The sequence below is a fragment of the Homo sapiens genome, chromosome 1 (assembly GCF_000001405.40).
Source record: "Homo sapiens chromosome 1, GRCh38.p14 Primary Assembly".
Classification (NCBI taxonomy): Eukaryota; Metazoa; Chordata; class Mammalia; order Primates; family Hominidae; genus Homo; species Homo sapiens.
In genome coordinates, this window is record NC_000001.11 from 55151045 (window position 1) to 55177817 (window position 26773).

General features: G+C 35.5%; 1 protein-coding gene across 11 annotated transcripts in view; it reads right to left on the minus strand.

Annotated features, from left to right (window-relative positions):
* Positions 1-26773, minus strand: part of USP24 (ubiquitin specific peptidase 24) — a 149006-nt gene that overhangs the window by 84686 nt on the left and 37547 nt on the right. For 8 of the 11 annotated variants that reach the window (XR_001737080.2, XM_017000832.2, XM_017000831.2 and 5 more), the window contains exons 3-17: positions 25332-25399; positions 21333-21476; positions 20512-20634; positions 15524-15559; positions 14841-14906; positions 11155-11220; positions 8567-8641; positions 7834-7992; positions 6212-6326; positions 5904-6007; positions 3627-3734; positions 3327-3422; positions 3075-3236; positions 2826-2873; positions 868-927 (exon numbers count right to left, since the gene is read on the minus strand). Coding sequence is in view for 10 of the 11 variants with exons in the window: in XM_017000832.2 (XP_016856321.1) it covers positions 868-927; positions 2826-2873; positions 3075-3236; positions 3327-3422; positions 3627-3734; positions 5904-6007; positions 6212-6326; positions 7834-7992; positions 8567-8641; positions 11155-11220; positions 14841-14906; positions 15524-15559; positions 20512-20634; positions 21333-21476; positions 25332-25399 (1430 nt within the window). In the remaining variant the exon portion in view is untranslated. Of the gene's footprint in view, positions 1-867; positions 932-2825; positions 2874-3074; positions 3237-3326; positions 3423-3626; positions 3735-5903; positions 6008-6211; positions 6327-7833; positions 7993-8566; positions 8642-11154; positions 11221-14840; positions 14907-15523; positions 15560-20511; positions 20635-21332; positions 21477-25331; positions 25400-26773 lie in introns of those variants that run through there. The other 3 variants (XM_047416524.1, NM_015306.3, XM_005270690.4) reach the window with 2 other exon arrangements.

The window sequence follows — 26773 nt, forward strand, 5'->3', positions numbered from 1 at the left end:
CAGAAGGGACTGAATTCTGTTTTCAGACTGTTCTCATATAAAAGTTCATTGATACTGAAACATGCTTCTGCATAACTTCTTTGGAGACATAAAAAGTAAGTTGAATGAAACTTCTCTATAACAATGCTCTAAGTATTTAAAAAAAGCTTTCACATTTTCTTGAGTTCTCTCTTCTCAAAGTTGAACATCCCCACTTCCTCATCTGTCTTGTTTTTCCAGACCTATCCTTCTATCTAGGACCACAGCAAAAATTTTTGCTTGGGAGGACAATTTCTAAAAGTTATTTCCTCCTGTACTAACCACATCATGTGAAAGTATCTGTACTGAGGACATCTTGCTACTTTTACTTTCTGTTACGTGTTTTGGTAAGTAGAGGCAACTCAGCTATGGCTATGTAAGGCTTTTGGTGTCCTCATAGGGTGAAGGGGAGGAAGTAAGAGGAAGGAAACCAACATTTGCTAAAAGCCTGTCAGGCGCTATGGTAGGTGGCCTGAAGATAAACAACTTAAGGAATATGCAGTACAACTAACTGAGGAAAAATGAGGTTTTTTTTTGGTTTAGTAATTTTTTTTGGATGAGTACATTTAAACTTTTTAATTGAAGAAAAAAAGAAGTGACATAAGAGGGAAGGATTGGGGTAGACAGTGGAAGGTATAGAAGCAGCAAAGGAAAGAGGACCAAGGGAGCCGAGGGTACCCTGCAGAATCTACAGAAATAAAGTTAGGAAATCAAGGCCAGAATTTCTGAACACAACAGTGGAACTTGGGAATTTTAAGAGTATCAAAAGCAGAGGGAAGGGTAATCAGTTGGGGGAATAGAGGTAGCTGAGGGTGGGAGGGGAGTAAGAAGTGGGTGATCTTGTCTTACCCTTTGCTTAGTTTCTGTGTAGCCTGGCAGGGAGACATAATCCCCAGTCAGCCCACCTTGCTGCCTGGCAGGAAAGGGCATAGCATAGAAAAACACCTTTAGTGGAAGTAAATAATTCACCCCCCTGCCTGGAGCCATATCCAGGGGGCTTTGATCTTCCCACTGCCCCCCTTCAGCAATGTGTACTTTGTAAAAGTCCATGAAAGCACTTAGTAAACTGAAAAGTGCTATATAAAAGGCAAGATATTATTGTTTAGAATGAAATAATGGTACACCAGTATTTCTTTACTGGGAGCAGTGGGGAAATAAAAAAGAAAGAATATTCCTTTCGAGTCTCACAAAATAACTCCAAAAATTCTCCTTTTACTTTTTGAGTTTTGTTATAAAACAACAGACATAAATGAAATGACTGCAAAGAGAAGCAATAAAGATGCAGTGATGCAACTGACTAGAAAAGCTAAGTAATGTTTAGCTGTAACAAGGAAGGAATAATGGTCAGGAGGGATATTCTGGTTTCAAACGCCACTTCCCTGGAGGGAGGGAAAAATCCATTCAGCTTTGACCTTTTATATATAAAAGAAACGTGTCTGTTGCTGAGAAGACAAGACCATTTTTCTATGGACACCCTTTTCCTCTTACTATTGAAGGTTCTAAACATCTTCAGTAACTGGATGAATTTTAATCATAAGGAGAGGTTGCTAAGTTATTTGAATCACTGAGCTAAGGAAACTGGAAAAATTCAAATTGTATCTGAGTGAAAAGAAAGCAATGTTATTGAGTTAAAAGAAAAATTCCTCATAACCTGAGAATTACCAGCTCCAGTTTGCAAATACCTTTTAAAATTTCTAAAGCTGGGTTACATGTAGAAAATTCACCTGGTCACATTTCAGTGTCAGAAATATAAAACACAAAGTTCTTCAATGCCCCCAACTAAACTTTGTGATCAAACACAACATAAGAAATAAAAGCCCACTGAGCTAAGAGTCTCTTAATATACCAATGAAAATTAGTTGGCAGTATCCAAGATCCTTTAAAGAAATACTTAACAAAAGCCAAGGAATATGTTTTACTAATGAAATTATTAAGCCACTAGTTATTCTACCAAAACTTTTCTTATGTTAATAATAAAATGAAAATCAGAAAGCGGAAGCCTTTCCAGTGCTAGGCTTTAAGTTTGGTCTGGGCACCCTGAGGGTCTAGGTGAGAGGACAATGCTGCTCCAATTAGGGCTGCTGCAACAACAGAAGCACAGTCCACTGAGCTGGCTGCTGTGATCAGCCCTCTCAGAGGAGAGGCTTGAGGCTTAAGGACTGGAACAACAGGAGAGCTGCAATCATTACCGCTCAATCTGCTAACCACCACCTCCAAGGACAGTCCAGAAGTTCACAGTAACCTACAGTCCCAGTCCCTCTTATACAAGTCCGTATCCAACCCTACCTTCTAAAATGAAGCCCCAGCAACAGATACTCACTGAATGACTGCCTATAGAATTACTTTAGGAACATGTCTAAATGAAGAACCTGAAACACTACTATGTGCAATCGATGACTGAACCTCCTTCCTTTCTCTCTCTCATACTATGAATGCTCCTCCATTTCTCCTTTATGGGAGAAAAACAAGCACAATATTTATTTGGAGTCCACTGTACTTATTAAAACTGTGCATACTTTAGATTTAATTTTAAAAAGAAAAACTAAGTTGAAAATCTTCTAATTTTATGAAAATTATATAATAAAATTACTCTTTGAATGTGATCCTAGATTTTTTTTCCCATTAAGAGCACCTCCCAAGCTTTAAATAATAAAGCATAGGTCATAAACAAATTTTTAGACATCAAGTTTAATATGAACATTAAGAAACACTAAAACATACTATTATTTTAAAATTGTGGTGTAATTTATTAAAGGAAATTATTAAACTAGTATACCTTTTAGTTGGTTCCATCTGCAAATTCTTACCTTGAATCCATCCTTCTTGTTTTTTTCCAAACCTGACCATTCTCCAGGCTGAAAATTCATTTTAAGAGAAATATAAGTGACTTGGTAAAAGCAATACCTATAATTTCCCGATCTTGGACTTTAAGGTAAGAGCTTCCAGATATGGCATTTAGTTTAATTTACATAACAGGGGAGGAAAATTATTTGGCTCTAATTACTCAGGGAATACTGTTGCTCTAACAACAAAATCAGATAAAAGCTGAAACCAACCCTCTTAATATCTTCTATGCACTTGATGATGTAGCTCCTCTTGATTGCTTCTTTCACTGCATATGCATCACTAAGGATTGTCAGGTGCTCCTCCAAGGCCTGCTGAATAAGGCTACTGGGCAGGGTTGGAAGGTGAGCCAGTTCCCAGAGTACGTCTAAAACCTACAATAATATTACATATGATCAGCCAGCCAATATGCAAATAGCTGCTTTGAGCATTTGTAGCTAGAAAAATCCATTTGATTCTCCTGCCTTTCCAGAAGTGGTCTCAAAGCGAGCTTCCCGGCCTATTCGTCCAATCAGGCTCAAAAGCTTCTGTCTTACTCTATCACTCTCAGTCTCCCAGCTCTGTAGAACGGAAAAGACACAGGAATTGCTTCACGATCAAACTGGCAAAATATGCAAAAATTTTAAACTTGAGCTAAAAACATTAACAACGTAAGAAAAGTACATTTAAATACTGCTAACTGGTGGGGAGGAGGGGTATTCAGGACCTCAAAAGAGCTTATTTTAAGAAAATTTAAAAGTAAGCAAGTCTGACTGAACACGTACCTTCTGAATGAGAACAAACAAATGATTAAGCTGATCTGAATTAAATTTCACAGCCGCTGCAGCAATAATAGTATGAATGTTCTCAATCACAGTAGATGATTGTCCTGACTGGAAAAGGAAACATTGGAAAAAAATTAAGTCTTGGAACTCGGAACAACCTAAGTCTTCCCCCTGGCAACTTACAGAAGCACAAGCAAAAATATAACAAAGACAAATTGACTCTAGTGTAATCAGCATCCACTTGCATAATATTGGCAAGACTATATGAAGCAACCATTATTAATCGTTATCAGCTGGCCTTATTTAAATTCCTAGAAGCATTAATTCTTTAAACCGACAATGAAAAAAAAAAACCCCATGAGAATCAAGTTCTCAGTGTGACATATTTCACTTCAAGAAGAGAACAAAATATTTTCAACTGCTGAAAGATTTAAACAGATTGAATTATAAAACAAATGTACCCACTTTTGACATTTTATAAATGATCCTGAAGGTTCCAATTGAGCGTATTACCTGCCTCATTATTTATTTTACTCATAGATACTTTGTGATTTCAATTAATGTTTATTTATCCTATTGGCAGTAAGTCTTTGCTGCAGAGCTATAGACCCTATTGTCAACCTTAAGGTTTAAATTCACTTTATAACGTCAATTATGTCACTGTCATGCCTCACTGTTCATCATGTGAGATGTGAAATCAAAGAGGACATTTTTAGATTCAATTCCTTAAGAATTTTCTCAATATATACTATGCACATAGAGTCATTCATTGAATGTAGTAGGAATATACAATATATAAATCATGGTCTCTAATCTTCAACCTAAATCTTCAACCTTATGTGGATTCAAAATTTATACTCGCAAAACAAAATTATATGAGTGTATTCCACCAACGTCAAGACATGGGAAGTAATATCTTGGGACCCGGGACTGTTTTCTTTTACTCCTGCACCTGACTTTTTATAGTCTGCTCTGTAATGCTGGGCTGGGAGCCTGCCAACTACATTTCCCAAACTCCTCTGCCAGCCAACTTCCTGTTACGTTCTGCCAATGAGAGGAAGCGCTGGGAGATGAGTGGCAGGATGAAGGATGAAGTACGTCTGGCTTAGGTTCAGAGTGGATGCAGATGCTGGCTGTGGCTGCAAGGGACTCTGGAAACCTTGGTGGCAGTAGCACCTCTTTGACAGTTCCAGCACTTAAAGTAAAAGCACCTCCAAGAGCAGCTTCATTTCCTTGAACTTAATACCCCTTCCTTCTTTTTGCTTCTCCAACATTCTCTTTTTTTGCTCCTCTACCTTACTTAGGAAGACTTTTGTAAACAATCCCCTGTAATGAATTCCCTTTGCTTGATATACCTAGCATAGTTTCTACTTCCTGACTAGATTCTGACTGATACAGTGACTAAGTTGATACAGTCAAAGAGTGCTCCAGGTTTTTCTCTGGCTTACCAACTAGATGAAGAATAATACCATTAATGAAATAGACTGGAGAATGACCATGTTTGGATATAATGAATTTAAGATGCCAATGCACTATGCATGGGAATGTGTGTTACATATTTAGATATACTGCATTGGAGCTCCAAGAAGAGATCTGAATTAGAGATTTAATTCAGAGTCAACAGCATACAAATGTAGTCAAAGCCACAGGAATGCCTGCAATTGACTTATGAAAACCAATACAGTGAGAAAAGGGCTAAGAACTAAGGCTTGAAAAAAACAAATAAAGTCAAAGTAGAAGAGAATAAGTTAGTAAAGGGGACTCAAGGAGCAATGCTAGGAAAGTTAGGAAAACCAGTAAAATGGACTATGACCAAAGTGAAGAAAAAAAAATTGAAGACTATGTTGGATTCTGTCACACCTCTTGACAGTCCTAGTAAGATGAGATCTACAAACTCACCAATCATCTTTATTTAATAGGGACTAAATGGGAAAAAAATTATTAATGAAAATTAATAATATAATGAAAAGAACACTAGATTGATAAACAAAGACACACACCTATTCCTAGCTCTGCCACTAACTGCTATATGACCTTCTCATTTTTTAATTTAAAAAATTAGAAGACCAGACTAGATCAGCAGTTTGAAACTTCTTGTGGTGAGTGGATTTACACATACAATCTTAATAAAAACCTGAAACTGTAAAGTGGGTTAGGTACAGCTGCTCTGTTTAAAGCAAGATAAAGTTTCCGTTTTCCTGCTCTCTCATCACCCTTTTCGCTCTCCTGTAGTCCAAAAACATTAGCCAAAGGCAAAAATAATTCTGATCAACCTACCTGTATCTTCCAAATTTTAGTGAGTTCATCTAACGACAATTTACTACCCAAGAGTTCAATAATTCCCTTTATACGGTCACAGTATTGTGCTTGGTCTATGTTGCCTAATTGAAGAAACATGAGAGAGAAAGTCAGATATAGTGAACACTGACTCTCTAAATATAATTCTATTGATTCAAAACAATAACTTACTATAAGATCATTTAAAGACTAATACAGTCAAAGCAACAATTTTGTATACTTTTTAATACAAAGATATATTATTTAAATTATGTGTTAGGTAATTTTTATTTTTGAAAGCAACTTACCTTCCAGTGCAATCGACAGAACTGAGTTTTCAACTAGCCAATCTAATAATCTGTCTGTATCTATAGCATTCTTCACAGATTTGGATAAAGTGCTATCTTCTATTAGTTTGGTTACCTAAAAAGATAAGATTATTGTGACTGAGTCTAATATACATTATCAAATATTTATATAGATAGATAGATAATTTTTACAATGTTACAATGTGCTTCAATAACTAGCCAAAATATATCAAAGGCCAGTTATAAGAAGTTAACAGACTACCATTTGTGATGTCCCTTTAAAAAGAACATGGAGGGCCAGGCACGGTGGCTCACGCCTGTAATCCCAGCACATTGGGAGGCCAAGGTGGGTGGATCACTTTAGGTCAGGAGTTTGAGACCAGCCTGGCCAACATGGAGAAACCCTGTCTCTACTAAAAATATAAAAGATTAGCTGGGCGTAGTCGTGGGCGCCTGTAATCCCAGTTACTCAGGAGGCTAAGGCAGGAGAATTGCTTGAACCTAGGAGGCGGAGGTTGCAGTGGTCCAAGATTGTGCCACTGCACTCCAGCCTGGGTGACAGAGCGAGACTCCATCTCAAAAAAAAAAAAAAAAAAGAACATGGAGTCATTCTTACAGCTGTCATTCCCTGGACCACTGCTAATTGGCTCAGGGATGAACATCTAACCCAAACCTCAATCAGGCACTCCCTCCAAATTTTATATGTGGAAAGTATACAGAAGTGTCAGGAAGACACTTCATATGCAGAAGGAGTGAGTCAGTCCCTCTCCGGTGATGGGAACTGCAGGATGTGAAACATCGGATCTATTCATTGTCTTGATCTCTACCGTATGAAAAATGCCAAATGCAGGTAGAGAGGCAGCAAGGCCAACATACTAAGAAAAGCAGGGACAAGACTTGGACAGAGTCCTGACAGTGGTCAGCTTGCAAATTCTAGTTGTTCTGTTGCCCACATGTGCCCATCCTTTCTTGTCTGGCTAGTAAACCTTTCATTCATGTAAAATAACCCAGCCTCTTTTCAATGAACTCCTCTTTTGGTCTAAAATGGTTCAAGATGAGTTTCTTTCACTGGTAGTCAAGAATCCTAACAATACAAAACCGAAGGAAAAAATAAGTGAATTATAACTGAACTGCATTGGCTCCATGTGTCACACACCAAAACCAACTGTGCTGTTTCTGTGGATATGATAACAAATTCAGAAAGCTACAGAAAATTATTTCCATCATTTTGCTTTGACCAACACTGCTGCAGTCATTTAGTTTTTGTCCCAACCCCAGTTAGAAGATTTGGTTTAAGTAAACTTACACCTGAAATAAAACAAAACCAACTGTACCCTTAGAGCAAAAGTAAATCTCAAACTGTATATTCTAAGGGATTATATTCTAGGAAATTTCACAAAAACAGTAAATATTTTAAATATTTCAGATGTAAATTTTGAAAGTAACACAGAAGATGTCTTTACCAACAATTATATACAACATTTTATACACAATCATTCTCTTTTTTATATGATTACAATAAATTATTCATATTTCCCAAAATTGTTATATTAATAAGCATACATCTTGGCAGAACTTAGTATCTGTGCATTAAGTCTTGTAGAAACAAATGAAAAACTTACTTCTTTGAGAGAATTCATCTTAGCACTGAAATGTGGTGATTTCAGCATGCGCAATAGAATATCTAGTCGAAGGTCATCCACAATTGTCACCAGATCCGGTTGGAAGCGCATGCAAAGTAACTTAACGGCAGACAAGAGCTCAGGGATGCTAACCAATCTCTTTTATTGAATAAAAACAAAAAAACAAAAAAGGAACTGTAAAAACATTTTGATCCCAATTCTTATAACATACACAAGAATATAGGGTAACAGTGGTCTGGCAGTATCTGATATTTTACAAGGCCAATTAACTTCATTTTGCTTAGAAACAAAACTTAGCACATGGGTGAGCAGTAAAGGAAAGGGAATGGTCCTGTGAAAAATTTAGGGTAGACAAAATAAGTCATATTAAATTTAAATGGTAAAATTGCTTTAAACAACTCTGGGTAAGTTGTAACACTGTATTATTTTAAAACTTTCTCTATGCCAATTGTGATACCATCAAAATCATGTTAGTAAAATTCTGAATGGTATCACTTACTGAGAACACTGTATTAACTCTATTGACTAGAGGTAACAACCACCAATGGTGCTTCAGAAACAGCACTTTTTAATTAGGAAATGTAAAGTTAATTCGATGTGAATGCATGTGACCAGAATTCAAAGAGCATGGTGTGTGAACCCTGCTAAGTCCTGGCTCTGCTTCTGTGAACTAACTGGCACTGGGGCCTATCTGGCTGGAGAAGGCATTTACCTTGTCTTTGAGGTCTTTCTCTTCTACACTCCGTACATCCTGGATTGTAGTAAGAATGACTGGGTCTAGCATGGGCTGTAGAAATAAAATGCTACAGTTAAGAACTCCCGAAGCTGTCCCAAAAGTAGAGAGAGAATACTTCTTCATCTACAATTCACAAAGGAGAAGGTGCAATGAAAAGATAAAAATTTTCATATCAGAGCAGCTACTAACTAGCTAATACTGCCAAATAAACCCTTAACTGACTCTGCTTAATCTTAGGTGCCTCAGCTTCTTTACTATAATATGAGTACATTTTCTGTCATTACTATCTTATAAAGGTAATTTTGAAGAGTGACTCAAGACACACAGTCTAACTTTTAAAACACAGCATGAATTGTTTTTATAATAAATATTTTGTGCTTGATTTTTAAAACTGAATATAAACACAGACCATGGAAATTATGCTGTCATATGAACGATTTTTGCTTACTGATGTGAATGAGGCCTATAGATGAAATTCATACAATACACTGCTCCAGAATGGTAACACAACCAGAAAACTAACTCTGAAGAGTATGTGAGAATGGTAAAGTATTAGCTATTAATACATCTAAATTACCACTTCCATCTAAGTAAGAAAATATTTAAAACTTAGCTGATGAAGAAAGAGATAAACAATATTTGGCTGTCAAAGCCAAGAATACATTAGCAATGAGCTAAAATGACATCAGGCAGTTATCCAGATAGAATTTCTTCTTTTACACTTAATGCCAATTGTATAGGAAGGAGAGCGAGCTGTTATGGTTAAGAGAGTCATAGTGCTCTTTTCAGCACATGCTGTTTAATCCTTACTGCAACTCTTGAGACAGCTATTACTATTATGGCCATTCCACAGATTAGGAAATTGAGGCATACAAGTTAAATAAGAGTCTTCTGAAGTCATACAAGTAGCAAGTAGTAGAGACAACTGTTATGTAAGTAACATGTATTATATGAGTTTATTGCTGAATGAATTTAATTTTGGATGGTTTGACATAATTAAAATAAAGATGAAGTCAGATGTGCTTGGTTGGGAATTCATACACTTCTTGTTCTTTTTAAGGTACACTCTGTTTACATATATAAAATCTGGAATTTCTAAAGACCTTAATATTAGTTAGCAGCTGGGGTATTTATGCTAAATTCTCTTCCACATAGCAAGGCATGAGCAAAGAGCATGTGTTTAAAACCCAATCCTGACCCTGATTATTAAAGTATTAATGTTTATTATTAAAATATTAAAAAGTCCAATCACTTTGCCTCTTTATGTCTTAGTGTTTCAACTATGAAATTAATGATATTTATATGCTTAATAAACTGAAGGAACATTAGCTGTTTCTAAAGGTTTTAATATACAGAATGGAGAAATATGTAAACAGCCATCCTATTTCACCTAAAACTCTTGCAGGATTACCTTGACATCTAAAGAAAGCATTTAACATTTAGAAATTACAGAAATTGGCTAGGTACAGTGGCTCATGCCTGTAATCCCAGCACTTTGGGAGGCCGAGGTGGGTGGATCACGAGGTCAGGAGTTTGAGACCAGCCTGGCCAGCATGGTGAAACCCCATCTCTACTAAAAATACAAAAATTAGCCGGGCATGGTGGCACGTGCATGTAGTCCCAGCTACTCAAGAGGTTGAGGCAGGAGAATCGCTTGAACCTGGGAGACAGAGGTTGCAGTGAGCCGAGATCACACCACTGCTCTCCAGCCTGGGCAACAGAGCGAGACTCTGTCTGGAAAAAAAAAAAAAGAAAAGAAAAGAAAAAAGAAATAACAGAAATTTCCAGAACCTACTAAAAAAAAATCCTATCTCCCTTATTAAAATGGCCCTAAGTAAATGTGATGTTGGAAAGAACAGTGCATTTAAAAACACTGCTCCAGAAGGACACTGTGCTTTCAAAACCATTTATGGTGATTTTTTAAAAGCTCTATAGAAGTTATAGGGTCCACAGACTTATTTATAAAAATAAATAAACAGAAGTATTTCAACGTGACATTTTGTTCGGTAAAACTTGTTAACTGAAATGAAGGAAACAGGATAGCAGAATAGGCTTTTAGCATTAGAAAACTGAACACTCACAGCTTTGACTGTTCTATGACCTGCTGACTTACAATCCTACGGAGGTAGGAAATCAGACAAGATGTGCTGTTAAGCTGGTATTCAGAAGTGAGCAACTGAGCCAGTAAGTGAGCCTAGCCGATTTAATACATAAATACTAATCTGATTCAATACATAATGGCATTAAATCCTTAAATAATCCTGTGAAGCAAATAAGGATATGCTGCCTACTTTATAGATAAGAAAATGAAAAATAAATAAAAATTATATTTTATAAAATGATAAACTGAAAAGGTAAATGGCCTTCTCAAATGTTAGGTCTCCTATACTTCAAATTATTCAACAATTTTTATTATCTGATGGCATTTTTATTAAAAGGACAGCTAATGTGAAAAAAGGAGTTACTCTGGATTAAAGACCACTCTGAATAACCTGATAAAAAGAAGTTATTACTGTTTGCATGTCTTCAATCATATGAAGTAATGTGAAATGGTTTAATCCTACCTGTACCACGGAGGAATTGAGGTACTCTGCACACACTCCTAAGGGCTGAATCAGTGCTGAGACAGCCTGGAAAAAGACAGTGAAGATTAAAAATACATTTGAGAGGATTTTTTTCCTGTCAAAATTAAACAAATCCCTTTTCATGTATCAGAGAAAAGTTTAAATAGTGAGTTGATCAAGTCATGAATAGAAGACTAGAGAAACTAAACTCCTGGATAGAAAGAATTGATATAAAGATGTCAACCCGCTTAAATTATTATAGAAATTTAATGTAATTTAAATCAGAATATGTCAATAAAACATCTTTGGAGAATTAGATAAAATGATTTTAAAGTTACATTGTAGAATACTATACATTTTTTTAAAAAAGGAGAGAATAGCTGAGGCATGAAATATTCCTTAAACAAAAAACACTGAAGGCTTACTTGAAGAAAATTATAAAACCTTACTAAAATACATTAAAGCAGCCCAAATAAATGGGGAGACACCATGTTTCTAAATGGAAAAGACCATTATTGTAAAAACATCAATTCTCTCTGCACTGACCTATAAATTTAATGCAATTCCAAACACGATCTCAGTAGAATTTTCTACAGCAGAACCTGACAGGTTGACTACACCCAGAACATTAAAAATATGGAAACAATAAAAAATTTTTTTAGAAAAGAATGATACTGGGCAGAAGTGACACTACCAGTAATGAACACAATGTTGCAACAGTACAGAAATGAACCAAATAATGAATGAATTAATAAATGACTGGAACAGAGGTCCAGAAACAAATCCATTGGCACACGGGCCTTTGATATTATTAAGCCAGCAACTACAAATAATAAGGAAAAGAGAGATTATTCAACAGAGGATCTAACAACAATTGGCTACCTATTTGGAAGAAAATAAAATTAAATCCCTATCTTTTCAAATATACAAAAATAAATTCTAAATGAATTCAAGGACTAAGTTAAAAAAATAAAAATATGAAAGTATAAAAAGAAAAAATATATTTTTATAAACTTGAGGTGGGAGAACATTATCTAAGCAAGTTAGAAAACTTTTAAGACACCAAGGAAAAATTTGACTACGTAAAAGTCTGAAACTTCTATATAGCAAAAGATACCATCAATAAAAATGAAAAGAAGCAAAATACTAGGAGAAAAGATTTACAAATATGCAAAATAGATACAGCATTGATAAGCTTAATATAAAAATAATTCCTAAAAATTAACAAAACACGTCACCCAAAGAGACCTAAATAAACTAGGTCAATTCACAGAAGAAATACAAATAACCAATAATCATATGACAAAATGCTCAAGTTCACAAGAAATCAGAGTATTACATATTAAATAATAAAATACCATTTTTTGTCCATCATACTGGAACATTAAAGATTGAAAATATTTAGCACTAATGAGACTATTATGAAATGGGTTTGTGGGAGTACTGATGGGCAAAAAAGCTTTTTAGAAAGACATTTAGCACTGTCAATTATAATTTTAAAACAAATATACAGTTGACCCTTGAACAAACAAGCTTGAATTGCATGGGTTCACTTACATGCAGATTTTTTGAACAAAATGAGGACTGAAAATACAATATTCCTGGGATGCAAAATCTGCATCCCAGATTGAAGGTTGACTTTTCATATACGTGAGCTCTGCAGGGCTGCCTACAGGATTTGAGTATAGACAGATTCTGGTATACCCAGAATCCTGGAACCAATCCCCCAGTATACCAAGGAATGACTGTAATCTTCAACTCAGAAATCTCATTCTCTAGGTATTGATCTTTCAGAAATAGTTGCACGTACATGAAGACATATTTATAAGGAACACTCTCTATAATAGCAAAAACATAGAAATAATCCAATGCCCATTAGTAAGTGTCTGCATCATGGTATACCATTTGCAGAAATATATCACTTGCAGTCATTAAAAACACTGATAGTACTAACCTGGAAAGATGACCATGATATTATGTTAAATGAAAGTATACAACCAGGTATAGCTTGATAATTTAGGTTTAGGAGAAAAAGAGAGAGAGAGAAAGAACATGCATAGATTTATATAAATTCAGGGAAAAGCCAGAAAGGCATCTGTTAAACTGGTAACCGTTACCTAGGTATGTGTGTGGGGATCAGGAAGAAGGATGAGCAACAACTTTCATTTCTTGTTTTGTATAGGTGTTTTTAACTAGTGGGCTTGTGAGTGATATTTTTTCCTAGTATTTTTAAATTCCAAAGTTGTACTCAGACTTAATATTATGGCCTAAATTTATCCTGGGACACAGCCACCTTAACTGGTCAGAAATTCAGCACGTGTGAATTCTAATTATACCTGTCTCCTACAAAAGTCCACACCTTTGGAATCTCTCCAATGCCTGAGTGTTACTATCCCCTCAATACAACCTAAACAATATAATTCTGTGTCAACTGCAGCAGACAACACAATTGTTCTGAAAAATGGTCTGACCTTATGGAAAAATCTTGCAAGACTCTTTAACTTTAGCACATTTGATAATAATGAGGGCTATGCCCAGATTCCCATCTATCTATCCTGAGCCAATTTTCATCCAAGTAGGATAGAAATTTGGGAGTGCTCTGTATTTTTTTTTTTTTAACCCTGGATCTGAAGAGGTTTTTCTTTGGTTTTGCTTTTTAAATTGTTATATATTATCTTCCAACTCAATGAAGTCCTTTCCAACATACTTGATCTATTGAATGGGGATCACAAGGACAGTTCAACAACCTAATTAACTTCCAGGGAAGCAAGTGGAGGCTTCTGCATCAGTGTCTGTGATATGGCAGACATCTGATCTTTAGGATAAACACTGGGTGGCAAGAAAGAGTCAATCTATTACTACACCATCAGTCTCTCTCCTTGAGCATTGCTATTTCCTTCACCCATAGAGGGACCAATAGGAATTGATTAGTCATGGTTTCACAAAAATAACTGCAACTGTAAGCACAATCTGTAACACCTGGGTGTATTATTTTAACACATTATTTTCTGTACTGATCAAATTACAGCAGATAGCGCAGTGTCTTATTCATGCCAAGTACGTAATAGTTTTTAGTTGAATGATTAATTAGAGAAAAGAATGAAGTGCTCTCAGCAACAAACAGGTCAACAGTGTCTGAAAAATTAAAGATTAGTTATTCCCCTAACTATGAGGTTATGTTTTGAGAAAATGAAGTTGATATGAACACTGCACCTGATGATTCTAAGCTCCCATGTTATAGCCATTTGTTATCTAGAAGTTTTTGTAACACCAAAAAGCTTACTAAACAACTCTGTTAAAAGTATTTTTATTTGTGCCTGAGTCTATGAAGTAAATTCTGATTTTATATAATCGTTTAACTGAGCCATAAAATTGTTATGCATATATATACTTGCCACATATAGCAACCAACTTTAAACAGTAAGATAATTTCATGTAACCATTACAAATTAAGAGAAAAATGCCACAGGTAAAGAAAAAATAGTGAGGAAAAAACTCTACATAGCAATTTGGTTATAATTAGGAGTAAACATTTCTTTGGTTATCAGGACCGTGGAATCTGCTCCTCTAAAGATGAACCTTTAATTTAACATTTAACTTGGCATGTCCAGACCATATCCTCTGGCTGTACACCAACTCAAGTGAAATGAATTTCCACAGTGAGCATATACAGTAGTTTAACTTACCCCAAGTTCTATATCTTCTGAATGGAGCTTGGCTTGGATTGCTGCAAATCCACCTAATTCTCCAAACTGAGAAGAAAAAAGGCACACATTAAGTTATTTTTCTCTTTAATTTTTTTATTTTGAAAAATTTCTATTGGTACATAGTAGGTGTATATGTTTATGGGGCACACGAGATGTTTTGATACAGGCATACAATGTGAAATAAGCACATCATGGAGAATGGGGTTTCCATCCCCTCAAGCATTTATCCTTTGAGTTACAAACAATCCAATTATATTATTTAAGTTATTTAAAAATATACAATTAAGTTATTATTGACTGCAGTCATCCTATTGTACTACACATATTAATTTTAAAATATTATATATTAATAATTTAAGCAAGGAACTAAAGCTAAAATTCTACTTTATCGTTGTGCTCCGTAACATTGGTCTTGAGAGAATCCTTGCATTGATCCTTCTAATGCTCCTGTGGCATACTGCAGATAGTACTAAGTCCAAAAGCTGATGTTTACCTGCTAGTATTGTACATACAAAAAAAGGAAGAAAATATGAAATCCACTCCTTAAAGCATTTTTTTTATTATTCTCTGCAGCTGCCATTTGCTTAATATACCAAACTCTAGGACGTCTCATTAGAAAATTGAAAATATGCTACATGACAATATTAACAAAAGTCATATACCTTATTTACCAAATCCACAACCCATCCATGAGGCTCCTATGAGAAAAGAAAAACAAAATTGAGATGGCAATATAAAAGCTTCCCCATTAACCCTTACATTTCTTTTATCCTAAATGAAAAGTCAGAAGAAAAATTATAAAAGTTTGGAAACTATTTTCAAAGTTTTTTTCCCAAACGCTTCCTAAGATGTCTTTAACATTACTGTATATGATTTTGGGAGTCTGTAAGTCTGTATTTTGATGGAACTGCCACAATGTGGAGCATCTATGCATTTTTGGATAGCTGAGATCAGTTGTTTAAGCTCTCCAACATACAGGATAACCTGAGTTAAATTCTCCAAAAAAGTTTTATTTTAGAAATTAAAACTTAATTATTAACATAAGAAGCAGTAAATCAGCAGAGATTAAAAGTTTTAGTCCCAGTTAGATCATTAATTAATGCTCTTAAGCAAGCTCTATTTTCTCCTCTTTTTCTTTTCTTTTTGAGCATTCACTGTTCTAGGGACTAGATACAGAACAGTGACTACGAAGAGATGTTGTACCTGCTTTTATGAAGCTCATTCTAGCAGGGTCAACAAAACCAAGTAGAGCATCATATACAGAAGACAATTCAAATTGTGCTAAGTCCCACGAAAGGAAAAACAAAAAGGCCTCGAAAGAAAAATAGGACCTTCCTCTACTTGGGGTGGTGGTCATGAAAGACTTCTCTGAAAACATAATCTTTAAAGGACAAGACAGATGTAGCCGTTTAAAGAACAGTCCAGGCAGAGAGGCTAAAATGGCAAAGGTCCTGATGGGGGATGGCAGAAAAGACTCTGCTGTGTTTAAAAAACTCTCCCAGCTGGGACACGGTGAGCCAGGAGTGGCAGAGATGAGGTTGTACAGAGAGGCAAAGAATGTAGATCATGGAGACACTTACAGACCATAATTAGAAAGAAAGCAACAGAAGCGTTTTCAGGAAGAGAGTGTTTTATATTTTAAGGTCACTCTTGCAGTTCTGTGAAGAATGGAATGGAATAGATGAATGGGAGAATGAGACATAGTCAGACACAACCAGTCAGAACGCCAGTGCAGTGTCTAGATAGTTCACAGCTGTGTGTGGAGAAGGATGGCAGCAGAAGGCGCCGAGAGAGGTCAAATGGAGACATATTAGAGATTAAATCAAAGGACTTGTTTATGGTTTGGTTATTCTTTATTCAAGGAATGAATCCTGGCTGACTCCTATGTTTCTGGCCTGAGCATCTAGATAGATGATGATGTTATTTACTAAAAAGGAGAATAAAGGCTGGAGAGGCAAAATGAAATTCCATTTCAGACACACTAAGTTTGAGAACTCTGTATGGCAACCAAAAGGAGATAATTGACTCTTCAAGTCTGGTATACTCAGAGAAGAGGTTTGGGCCACAGAGATATAAATTGGAGGGCCATCGGCATAAATATGACATTTAAATCCATTAGAGAAAGTGTAGTGAATAAAGAAAGGAAGCGCTGAAGATCAAAACTGGATAGAGGTGAAGGAGTCAACAGAGGAAACATGGCTTGGGGGCAAGCAGAAACACAAGGCACTGCAGTATCCTGAAAGCCAAGCAAGAAATATCTCCAAGAAGGGAGCAACTGGGGTCAGTGCTGTTGATGGGGGTCAAGGGACATTTCTTTCCAATCTGGAAACATGCAGGGGTGTTGGTGTCTTAACGAGAATTATTTCAGCAGATGGTGGACGAAGGCAGAATGGAATGCCCTGAAAAGTTAGTAGACTTCTGTCTAAGTATCCTAAATGGTTCTCCAGCTAAAAATAACACTACTGGATAAAAACACTAAAATATAATATTTTAAAAAATATAGTTGAGTTGACAAAAAAAAAAATTAAAAAGCTCAGAAGCTTAAAACGAAGAGAAAGCAGGAATCCTGTGAGACAGGCAGGAAGGCTCTGAAGCCAGATTCACCCACAGGCAGCTGCAGAGCCCTGGTGACCGTAAGTGTCCATTTGCAGGAGAAAAGGACATCAACCCCAGGTGGGACAGGGTGACTCAAGAAGGAAATGCAACGCAAAGCTGGAACTAAAGGGCTACATCCTTGGTGTCAGATGAACTGAAATAGATTTACCTGCGGAAAGGGAAAATAAGGATGCCTAAAGGGAGAAAAAAATTCTCCAAGAATTCATAACCACAGAATTGCCCTCATATGGCTTTACTGCTCAAATTCACACTGACATTATGGTCTGAAAAACCTTAAGTTGATAATTTATTCTAAAATGGTCACAAACTGTAGTGCTTCCAGGCACTTACCAAAAAGTACATCCTTTTTGGAAGAAAGAACTTTCAACTTAAGCCTCAAACTGCCCCCTCCTAGATTAAATGCTAAGAAATATGAGTTCACAGAAAAATGAACAAACAAATAAGTATACATATATTTCCATACACCTACATACATACACAAAGCAAGTGAGTAAAAGCCAGCAGAATCAGACTTGTAAATATCAGGCACAGAATATAAAGTAAGCATTAAACAAATTAGGGCTTGAAAATATGAGTTAAGAACATGAGACAATACAAAATGAAACAGTCAAAAAAACAAAATTTATATAAATTAAAAATTCAGTAACCAAAATTAAAGACTTAAATAAACAAGTTAAACAGCAAAGTAGATATAAATTTAAAAAAAATCCGTGAATTGTACTACTATAGATCTGGAAAAAAGTTATCACAATTGCAACACAAGGAGACAAAAAAATGGAAAATGTGAAAAGGTGTTAAGGGTCACAGAGGACAGAATGAGTCAGTCTAACATGTATCCAATCAAGTTTCAGAAGAAGAGAGACTAATGGGGAAGAGGGAATATTTTAAAAGATAAAGGCTGAGAAATTTCCAGAATTGATGTAAGACATTAACCATAGATTCAGAAGCCCAATGAATCTGAAGCAAAATAAATAAAAAGAATACCATGGTTAATCACATTACAATCAAATTTACAAACATTAAAGAGAAAGAAAAGATTTCAAAATACAGCCATGGAGGAGAGAGAGACTTCTAATAGAAGAACCACAGTCAGATCAATAGCCAACTTCTCCACAGCAATAATCAAAGCCACAAGACAGTGAAATGGTATCTTTAATATTCTGAGAGAAAAGAAATATCATCTAGACTTTTGAACCCAGTGAAAATACATACTTCAAGGAATGGGAAATAAAGTAAAGTTCAGGCCATCAAAAACCAAGACTTACCCACAAACAGAACCTTACTAAAGGATTCTTTATAGAATGCACTATCAACTTTACCGGGTAAAAAATGATAGGAGGGGACTAAGACAATGCACAAGTAAAATAAAGAGGTAATGAATCATTTAAGAGGGGAGCGAGCACATGCAACATTCTAAGGTCTTTATGTACTGCTCAAGGAGGAGAAAGATACTAGTGAAATTTAGATTTTGTTTAGTAAGTTAACATTTTAGGATAACCACTGAAAGAATAACTGAGAGGGAGGACATGGAATCTTCAGGAGGTCTGGTTGGGAAGGGGAGCAGAGGACCATACAGAGGGATATGATATTAAAGGCAGAATATTTAAAGATGGGAAATACTACATCATGTTGCATACAAGAGTAACAATCCCAACAGTGAGGGAAAGATTGAGGATACCAAAGAAAAAATAGAAAGCTGAAGGAGGAATATGCTTGAGAAGGCAAGAGAAGAGGGGATCTAGAGGAGAGAGAATTCCTTTGTGGTAATGAGAGGAAACACAAAGACTGCACCTTTCTGGGTCTCAGTGGATGCATACGTAAAGTGAAAAAAAGAGAATGAACATCTGCTGAGCGCTCACTAGAGTGAACCACCACGTTCAGTATTTCTATGTGTATTTGTCACTTGATCTTCACAACACATCTGAAGAGAAGAGTTTAGCATTTGGGGAGGCAATACTGCATATGGTTAAAGAACATAGACTAGCTGCCTGCATGGGTTCTCCCTGTAACTAGGTATGTGGACTTGGGCAAGTACTTCACTTCTGTCTGTTTCAGTTCTCACCTATGAAATGGGGGTAAAAATAGTACCCAACTCAAAGAGCCATTGTGGGGATTAAATTCCAAAGTACATATTCACTGTCCTTTCCACTCAGCTTTTTCCTCCTCTCTGGGGAACTGTCTGACTCCTCAAGGTGGCAATAACTACCCCTTCCCCTGGATTCTATGTACAGTACATATTATTATAATTCCACCTACTATTTATTATGCTGTCATTTTTTTGTTTTCGTATTTCCTCCACTATACTACAAGCTAGTAATCACATCTTATTACTGTTTATATTAAAAGACAGGACTGTGTACTTATGTTTATACCTCAAACTTAGAATAATGCCAGACACATAGTAAATGTTAAATAAATGATTGCTGACCTAAACCTCTGCTTCCACTAAAGCAATGAACCAGTTTTCTATTGATTAAACTCAACTTCTTTCAACTGTTTCTGAAACCAAACAGTGTTTTAACTAAAGGACTGTTTAGATTATCTACTTCTTGTGAGTATACTCTTATTGGCAGACTGTAGTCTTTTGATATAAAATATACTGGTTCCAGGCCTGAAAAAGCAAGTTTTAATGCATATGAAGTTCAAAAGAAAATATATATGAGATTAAGTACTAGATTATTTTTTCTAGGTACAAGTAATCATTTTAAATGCTATAGTCTCTCAACTCTCTCTAAGAAACTGGAACACCAATTAAACTGGGGTTCTGATAATCTAATAGATGACGCTAAAGACATTTCTCATTTTACTAAACATCATTTCAAACCTATAAAATTCTTCATGATATTAGTTAAGAGCTATGGAAAAATTATGCACTGTCTGAAAAAAAATGTAGGCAATTTTATGAGCCAGATGGGATATTTGTCATTTTTCAGATTGTTTTAATCCTCCCATGTAACTTGTCTTTTTTATAGCACAGAAAATCTTCTTTTTCAATACATTTTTCTATAAAAAGATGAAACTAAATGATGTTTACCTTTTGGAAAGTCGATACAGGTGAAACAGCAAACATATTTCCCTCTCCAAACACTTCTGCCCAATTCCTTTGAGACACTTTCATTCTGTTTTTAAAATGGTATTCATTATCAGGATTGAAAGCCTAGATTCAAAGAGAACAGAGAAACATTATTATCTATTTCTATAGCAACACATATTAGCATTAGAAAAGAAGATAAAAATATAGCCTTTGACTCCCCTCATTAATGGGATCTTTCAAGAATACACCGAAAGCATACGCCTTAGCTAGTGCAAAAGTGCTAAGAATTAATGTGCTATTCTCCTGTCCTGTTCAGTGTTCACTGTGAAGGAAGAGGAGGAGGTAACAGGATAAGAGGTCTGACTCAAGGCAGTGTGATGCCAATGCCCCAAGTGTGCTAGGGCTACCGGGGATGAGATGAGGAACAGAGGCACTGAGGGCAGAAGTCAGGAGGGGAAAATATGAGGGTCCCTTCTTCATGCAGCTACTGTTACCTGTTGGGGGAAAAGGCCAGAAACCAAACTCCATCTACATGAACACTCCATATGAAAGTATTTAAGACATGAATAATCGGGGAGAGGTAAGAGAAAGGCATTTAATCATTCCGTAAGTTGAAAAACCCATTAAAATTAGAAAAGCACTTCTTTCAAACTGAGAACACAAGATGGTTGCTCTGCTTTTAAAATAAAGACAAAGGATCCTAACAGCTAATATCCTTAACGATAAAATTATTATCACTCATTATTAATTACAAGTCAGAGAACAGCAAGTATTTTAAACAAAATCAAAACACAAAGTACTTAATTTTAGAGATACTATACCATTGTAAGCACACCCAGGAGACCAGTGGGAATTGGATCTTGTTTTATTCTCTCTGCGACCAGTTCTATTAATAGCATCAACATGTTGTAAATTCCTTCATGAATTTCAGTACCCCACTTGTGAACAGCACTTGATGTCAGGAGCTATAAAAACATAAAGGGCAATCTAGAGTCTAACTTGAAAAAAGAAAATAAATCTACAGTTTATCAAGTCCATCTCAAATAAGTGAGAGATTATGATGAAAATACTTTTTTATGTAGATGATTGGCTTTTAAAAGACCCATAGCTGTAGTTCATCTACTTGCCCATTTATTTCAAAGTCAATACAGAGTTTTGCTTTTGAATTTTAATTCTCTTGCATGAAAGCACTTTGTTTAAAAGAAAAATTTTATTTGGTCCTCTACTTTTCATAATTACAAGGGTAGGTCAAATGGTGCCGAGCAAGGTAAAAACCTGAGATCAATTCCAGTATTACTGTTTTCTAGCTGTGTGGCCTTGAACAAATTTACCTGAGTTCTCAACGGCTCAGTTCTCTTATCTCTAAAGAGGCATAACTCTTACCTACTTCATACAAATGTTATGAGGATTAAAAGATATAACAAATATAAAAGCATTTTATAAATGGTAAGGCATTATTAATATATCTTGATGGCTGGCTGTCCATATTAATATTTCTGGAACCTAAGAAATGAATGCTGTATTGCACGGATTCTAACATACATATCCTTTTAATATTTTTTAACATCTCAGAAATAGGATAATTTTTTTCTACCTGTTGACTAGATGACAGCAGGACTCAGAATGTGAAAAAAAATCTTAGAAATATCTTAACAGTTTATTTGGCTTACATTTTCCTTTTTGGTATGTACAAAATAATATTTTTTTTTAATTGTTTAAGCAAATCTAAATTAGCTCTAAGTTTTAAGACATTAAACTGTTTACTTTGTAGCTATGTTTCTTAAACATAAAACATCAAATATAAAACAATGGTACAAATCTTATAATTAGATACTTTCTTAGATTCCTTAAAAAGTAGAGAAATTGAATGCCCTTAATTCTCAGTCTTCTGGTCTTTGGGGAAGTGTAGAACAAGTGCCAGAACAAGAAATGAAAAATCAAAGGATTTCACTTAAATTGGTATGGTGGTTTCATGTTTTTGTAAGATTTTTCAAAGGGAAAATACTATGCAACAAATATTCAAAGGGAAAATACTATACAACAAAAATTTCATCTTGGCTTCACTGAGAACCTCTTTAAAAAGAGCAGGCTGGAAGAGCCCAAACTGTAATAGCTGCAGAGAAAAACCTCGGTTCCAGATTTTCTAAATACTAATTAGCCGCACTACTTGCTCAAATTAGCAGAAGTCATAAGACTGATTTTATGTAAACCAGTAAGTTACTATTTTTTGCAGAATTTTTTTTGCCTGACTATATATTCCTCCTATAGTTAAAAATTAAATAATAAAGCAAAACAAAGCAGAGATTACCAATTAAGAAGCTTCAAGTGACTACAAAATAAAAATGTATGTGGATTAAGCAGCAATCCCTCTGGCACCATTCCATTTGCTCATTTTTCACTTTGAAAATGCAATTCTGCCTACATTCTAGAAGAGATAGGGAAAGGCAGGCAGTACCTTGTGAAGAAGATGCACACAAGGTTTAAACATAACCATGCACTATGGTCAAACCTGAATTATCTTCTCTGCCTGAATACACTAGTAAAAATCCAGGCTAGCCTGAAGGTAAAAGGTGAAGAAGGTGGAAATGACAACAAAGCTCCTTTGTGCACCTTATTTATGTAATCACATATCATTCATACCCTTACTTCTAAAAGAAAATGTGTGACAGCTCGTGAGAAAAGCCTGGGGAATTGGGGAGAGGGATGGTCATCGAACCGAGAAACACAGCTAGGTAAGTAGTACCAATTATATCAAATCCTACTGAGTTTTCTGGCAGACAAGCCTAAAGGCACACAGAACTCTAGCTCTTCTGATTTAATAAAAGAAAGTATGCCTAATTGACGGGGAGGAGAACCTTTTTAATAGCTCTAAAGTGCAAAAGAATTTAATATTTTTACTTTAACAAAACTGAATAATATAAGGCATGGTACCTTTGTACTCACAGTTTTACAGAAAAATGACCAACCATGTGACCATTTATTATACTGCTCCTAACAGCTGAAGGCATGAGACAAAACAGTTTTCTGAAGTATCTCTGTACAGAGTTAGAGTATTATATTCCAAATATGCAACTTGCTGGTGAATGGACTGGATACACGGATTTCTGGATCTGGAGATCCTCAACCTTGAATAAGTCCTTTTCCACAACTCTGAATACACTTTTCCTTTTAAGTTTATGCATCCACTGTGATGTGTGTCACAGTATGTTACAATATAACAATTTTGCTATTTTTATTTTACTTTTTTTAAATTTTGTAGAGACAGGGGTCTCACATGTTGCCCAGGCTGGTCTGAAACTCCTGGCCTCAAGATGTCCTCCCGCTTTTGGCCTCACAAAGTGCTGGGATTATAGTGCGAAGCACTGGGCCTAGCCAATTTTGGATTTTTTAAAAGCTGCTGTAATTCTTAAAAGCTTAAAATTATTTTAAACTACAAACTGATGGATGAGCTAATCTAAAATGAAGATAAATCTTCATTTCATATAATCTTTGCCCAAATGACAATTTGAAAAGATTTCTCCATTTTTTAAAAAATGAAGCTACTTTTGCTTCTAAAATTAATTATATATATATTTTTTAAGGCTTGAATCAAGGGAGATTCTGCCTACCAAAATGCAACTGGGAATAACTATTTGCAAATGAACTCTTTGTTTTACTGGGTCTCTTTTTTTTTTTTTTTTTTTTTTTTTGAGACGGAGCCTCGCACTGTCACGCGGGCTGGAGTGCAATGGTGTGATCTTGGCTCACTGCAACCTCCACCTCCCGGGTTCAACAGATTCTCCTGCCTCAGCCTCCTGCGTAGCTGGGATTATAGGTGCCCACCACCAGGCCCAGCTAATTTTTTGCATTTTTAGTAGAGATAGGGTTTCACTATGTTGGCCAGGCTGGTCTTGAACTCCTAACCTTGTGATCTGCCTGCCTTGGCCTCCCAAGGTGCTGGGATTACAGGCGTGAGCAATTGCACCCGGCCTTAACTGGGTCTTAAGATAAACGCAAACATTACCCATCTGTAGTTCTAGTGACTTATTTACATATTGGACAAAAATGGGTGTCAAAATCCAGCAGTTAAGCCAGCAAAAGAATCATTCATTGCAACTTTTCTGAGCTCTTTCTATGAGCTAGGCACTTAGTTATATGCTGGGGGAAAGGGCAGTATGTTAACAGACACAGTCCTTGCTCTAATGAGGATTCAAGGCTCATCTGCTAAAAAGGGAGGCTGATTCAGTCTGTTTTTAGAAACACAATTCTTGTGATCTCCCATTCCCATTGTTAAGAAACACTGCTTTCTAAGAGATGTGACCCAAATGGAAGTAGGCATATCACTCTGGCTCTAATAGAGATGGTGCCTTATGCATGTCAGTGAGAATACCTAGTCAATCTTTTAGTAGTTTAAAATGTCTTCTCCTGTCTCACACACTTAAAATGGCTCATATTTTGATAAGTGTATACTGTCTTTCTAAGTGCCACAAGCCTTTGTTTACTAATATGTGCAATATCCTAGTATAATTAAGTCTTAATCTATTAAGTCTAGTATAATTAAGTCTTAATCTATTCTTTAGCAATTAAATAGTAGGAAGTATTTATTATTAATAAAAGTTATATTTAACCAAAGACACATACAGACAATATAAAAGAAGTAAATCATTTATAAGCCCCAAATTCAGAGTTCCGTTTTTCATATTAGAGGATTCCTCAGTTAAACAAGATTCATAAACTGGTCTTATACATAAAAAACTAAAATTAAAACAAAAAGCTTCTCTTCCTTCACCCTGCCCCCACCCCGACACACACAAAATATCACAGCAGCACATTTTTCTTACCTTTTTAAATGCTTCAGGCATACACCTGTCCATAAACCTTCTACAATTCTCATCAGACTCGGAAAGACCTTAGTAAAATGCATGAAATAATATACTTTATTTAAGTCAGACTCAGAAAGACCTTAGTAAAATGAATGAAATAATACACGTTATTTAGGTCTTTGGTAGTTCGTAAAAATCATATACATCATTCTAAATCCATACATATGGAACTATGTCATAGGAACCTTAGTTCTTACGAAATTATTAAAAGTAGAATATATACCTTTGATGAAGGAAAGGCTGAGAAATAACCATAGCATTAGATTAAATAAATACCAATTGAACTGAAATGATTGAACTTACATTTCCATGTCAGAGTAACTTCAATGATCTGATTAAATAGCTAATAAAACACCAACAGCAGCTACTTACTAGCCATTATTATTTCCCTAAAAAGTTCTATAGAAACACAAATATTTTCTAATCCCAGAACTTTGGGAGGCCGAGGCAAGAGGATCACTTGAGCCCAAGAGTTTGAGACCAGCCTGGGCGACACAGTGAAACCCCGTCCCTACAAAAAATAAAAAGCTGGGTGTGGTGGTGCTTGCCTGTTGTCCCGGCTACTTGGGAGGCTGAGGTAGGAGGATCACTTAAGCCTGGGAGGTTGAGGCTGCAGTGAGACATGACTACGCCATTGCACTGCAGCCTAAGCAACCCTGTCTCAAAAATCAAAAACCAAAAAAAAAAAAACAACAAAAACAAAAACAAAAACCAAAAAACCACACAAATATTTGCAATAAATGCCTAAATTACTCTTCTTCCCTAAAACAAACCAATGAACTCCATTACACAGATTTGTGTCTGGCACAATTCACATAGTAAGTGATAAATACTTGCTAAGTTAATGAATAAGTTCCCTGTAAAATCATCTTTTGGAAAAAGTACATTTCTTTATTAAACTCAATAATAGGTTTTGCTTATCATTGGGAATACTGCTAAACACACTCTCTTTTTTTCAGACCCACTGCCTAGCATAGTACCTAGATCCTAACAGGTGCTCAATAAATGCTACTGCTGAGAAGCCAGTCAGAAATACACCATATTCTGGCCATATTCATTTCATAACTGAATTCAATATGAAAAAATAAGTTATTTTCTCTTTTTTTAGTACAGGTGTTCATACTGACACCCACTCTTCCAACCTATTGATATTTTATTATTTTAATAGCTTGATATTTATAAAGCTTAAAACAATGTCAGGTACTTAATAAGCACAAGTTTGTTAAATAAATATAACTTTCTTCTCTTAAAAAAAAAGCTGTTGAATTGATGAGCCTTAATTTAAAGTACTCCAAGCTTCTGTGGAAAAAGTTAATTTCAATTTCCATTAAGCTTTTCAATTATATTTTAAATAATCTTATACTCTATCAAAGGTAGAAGAAAACAATTAATTTGGTTCA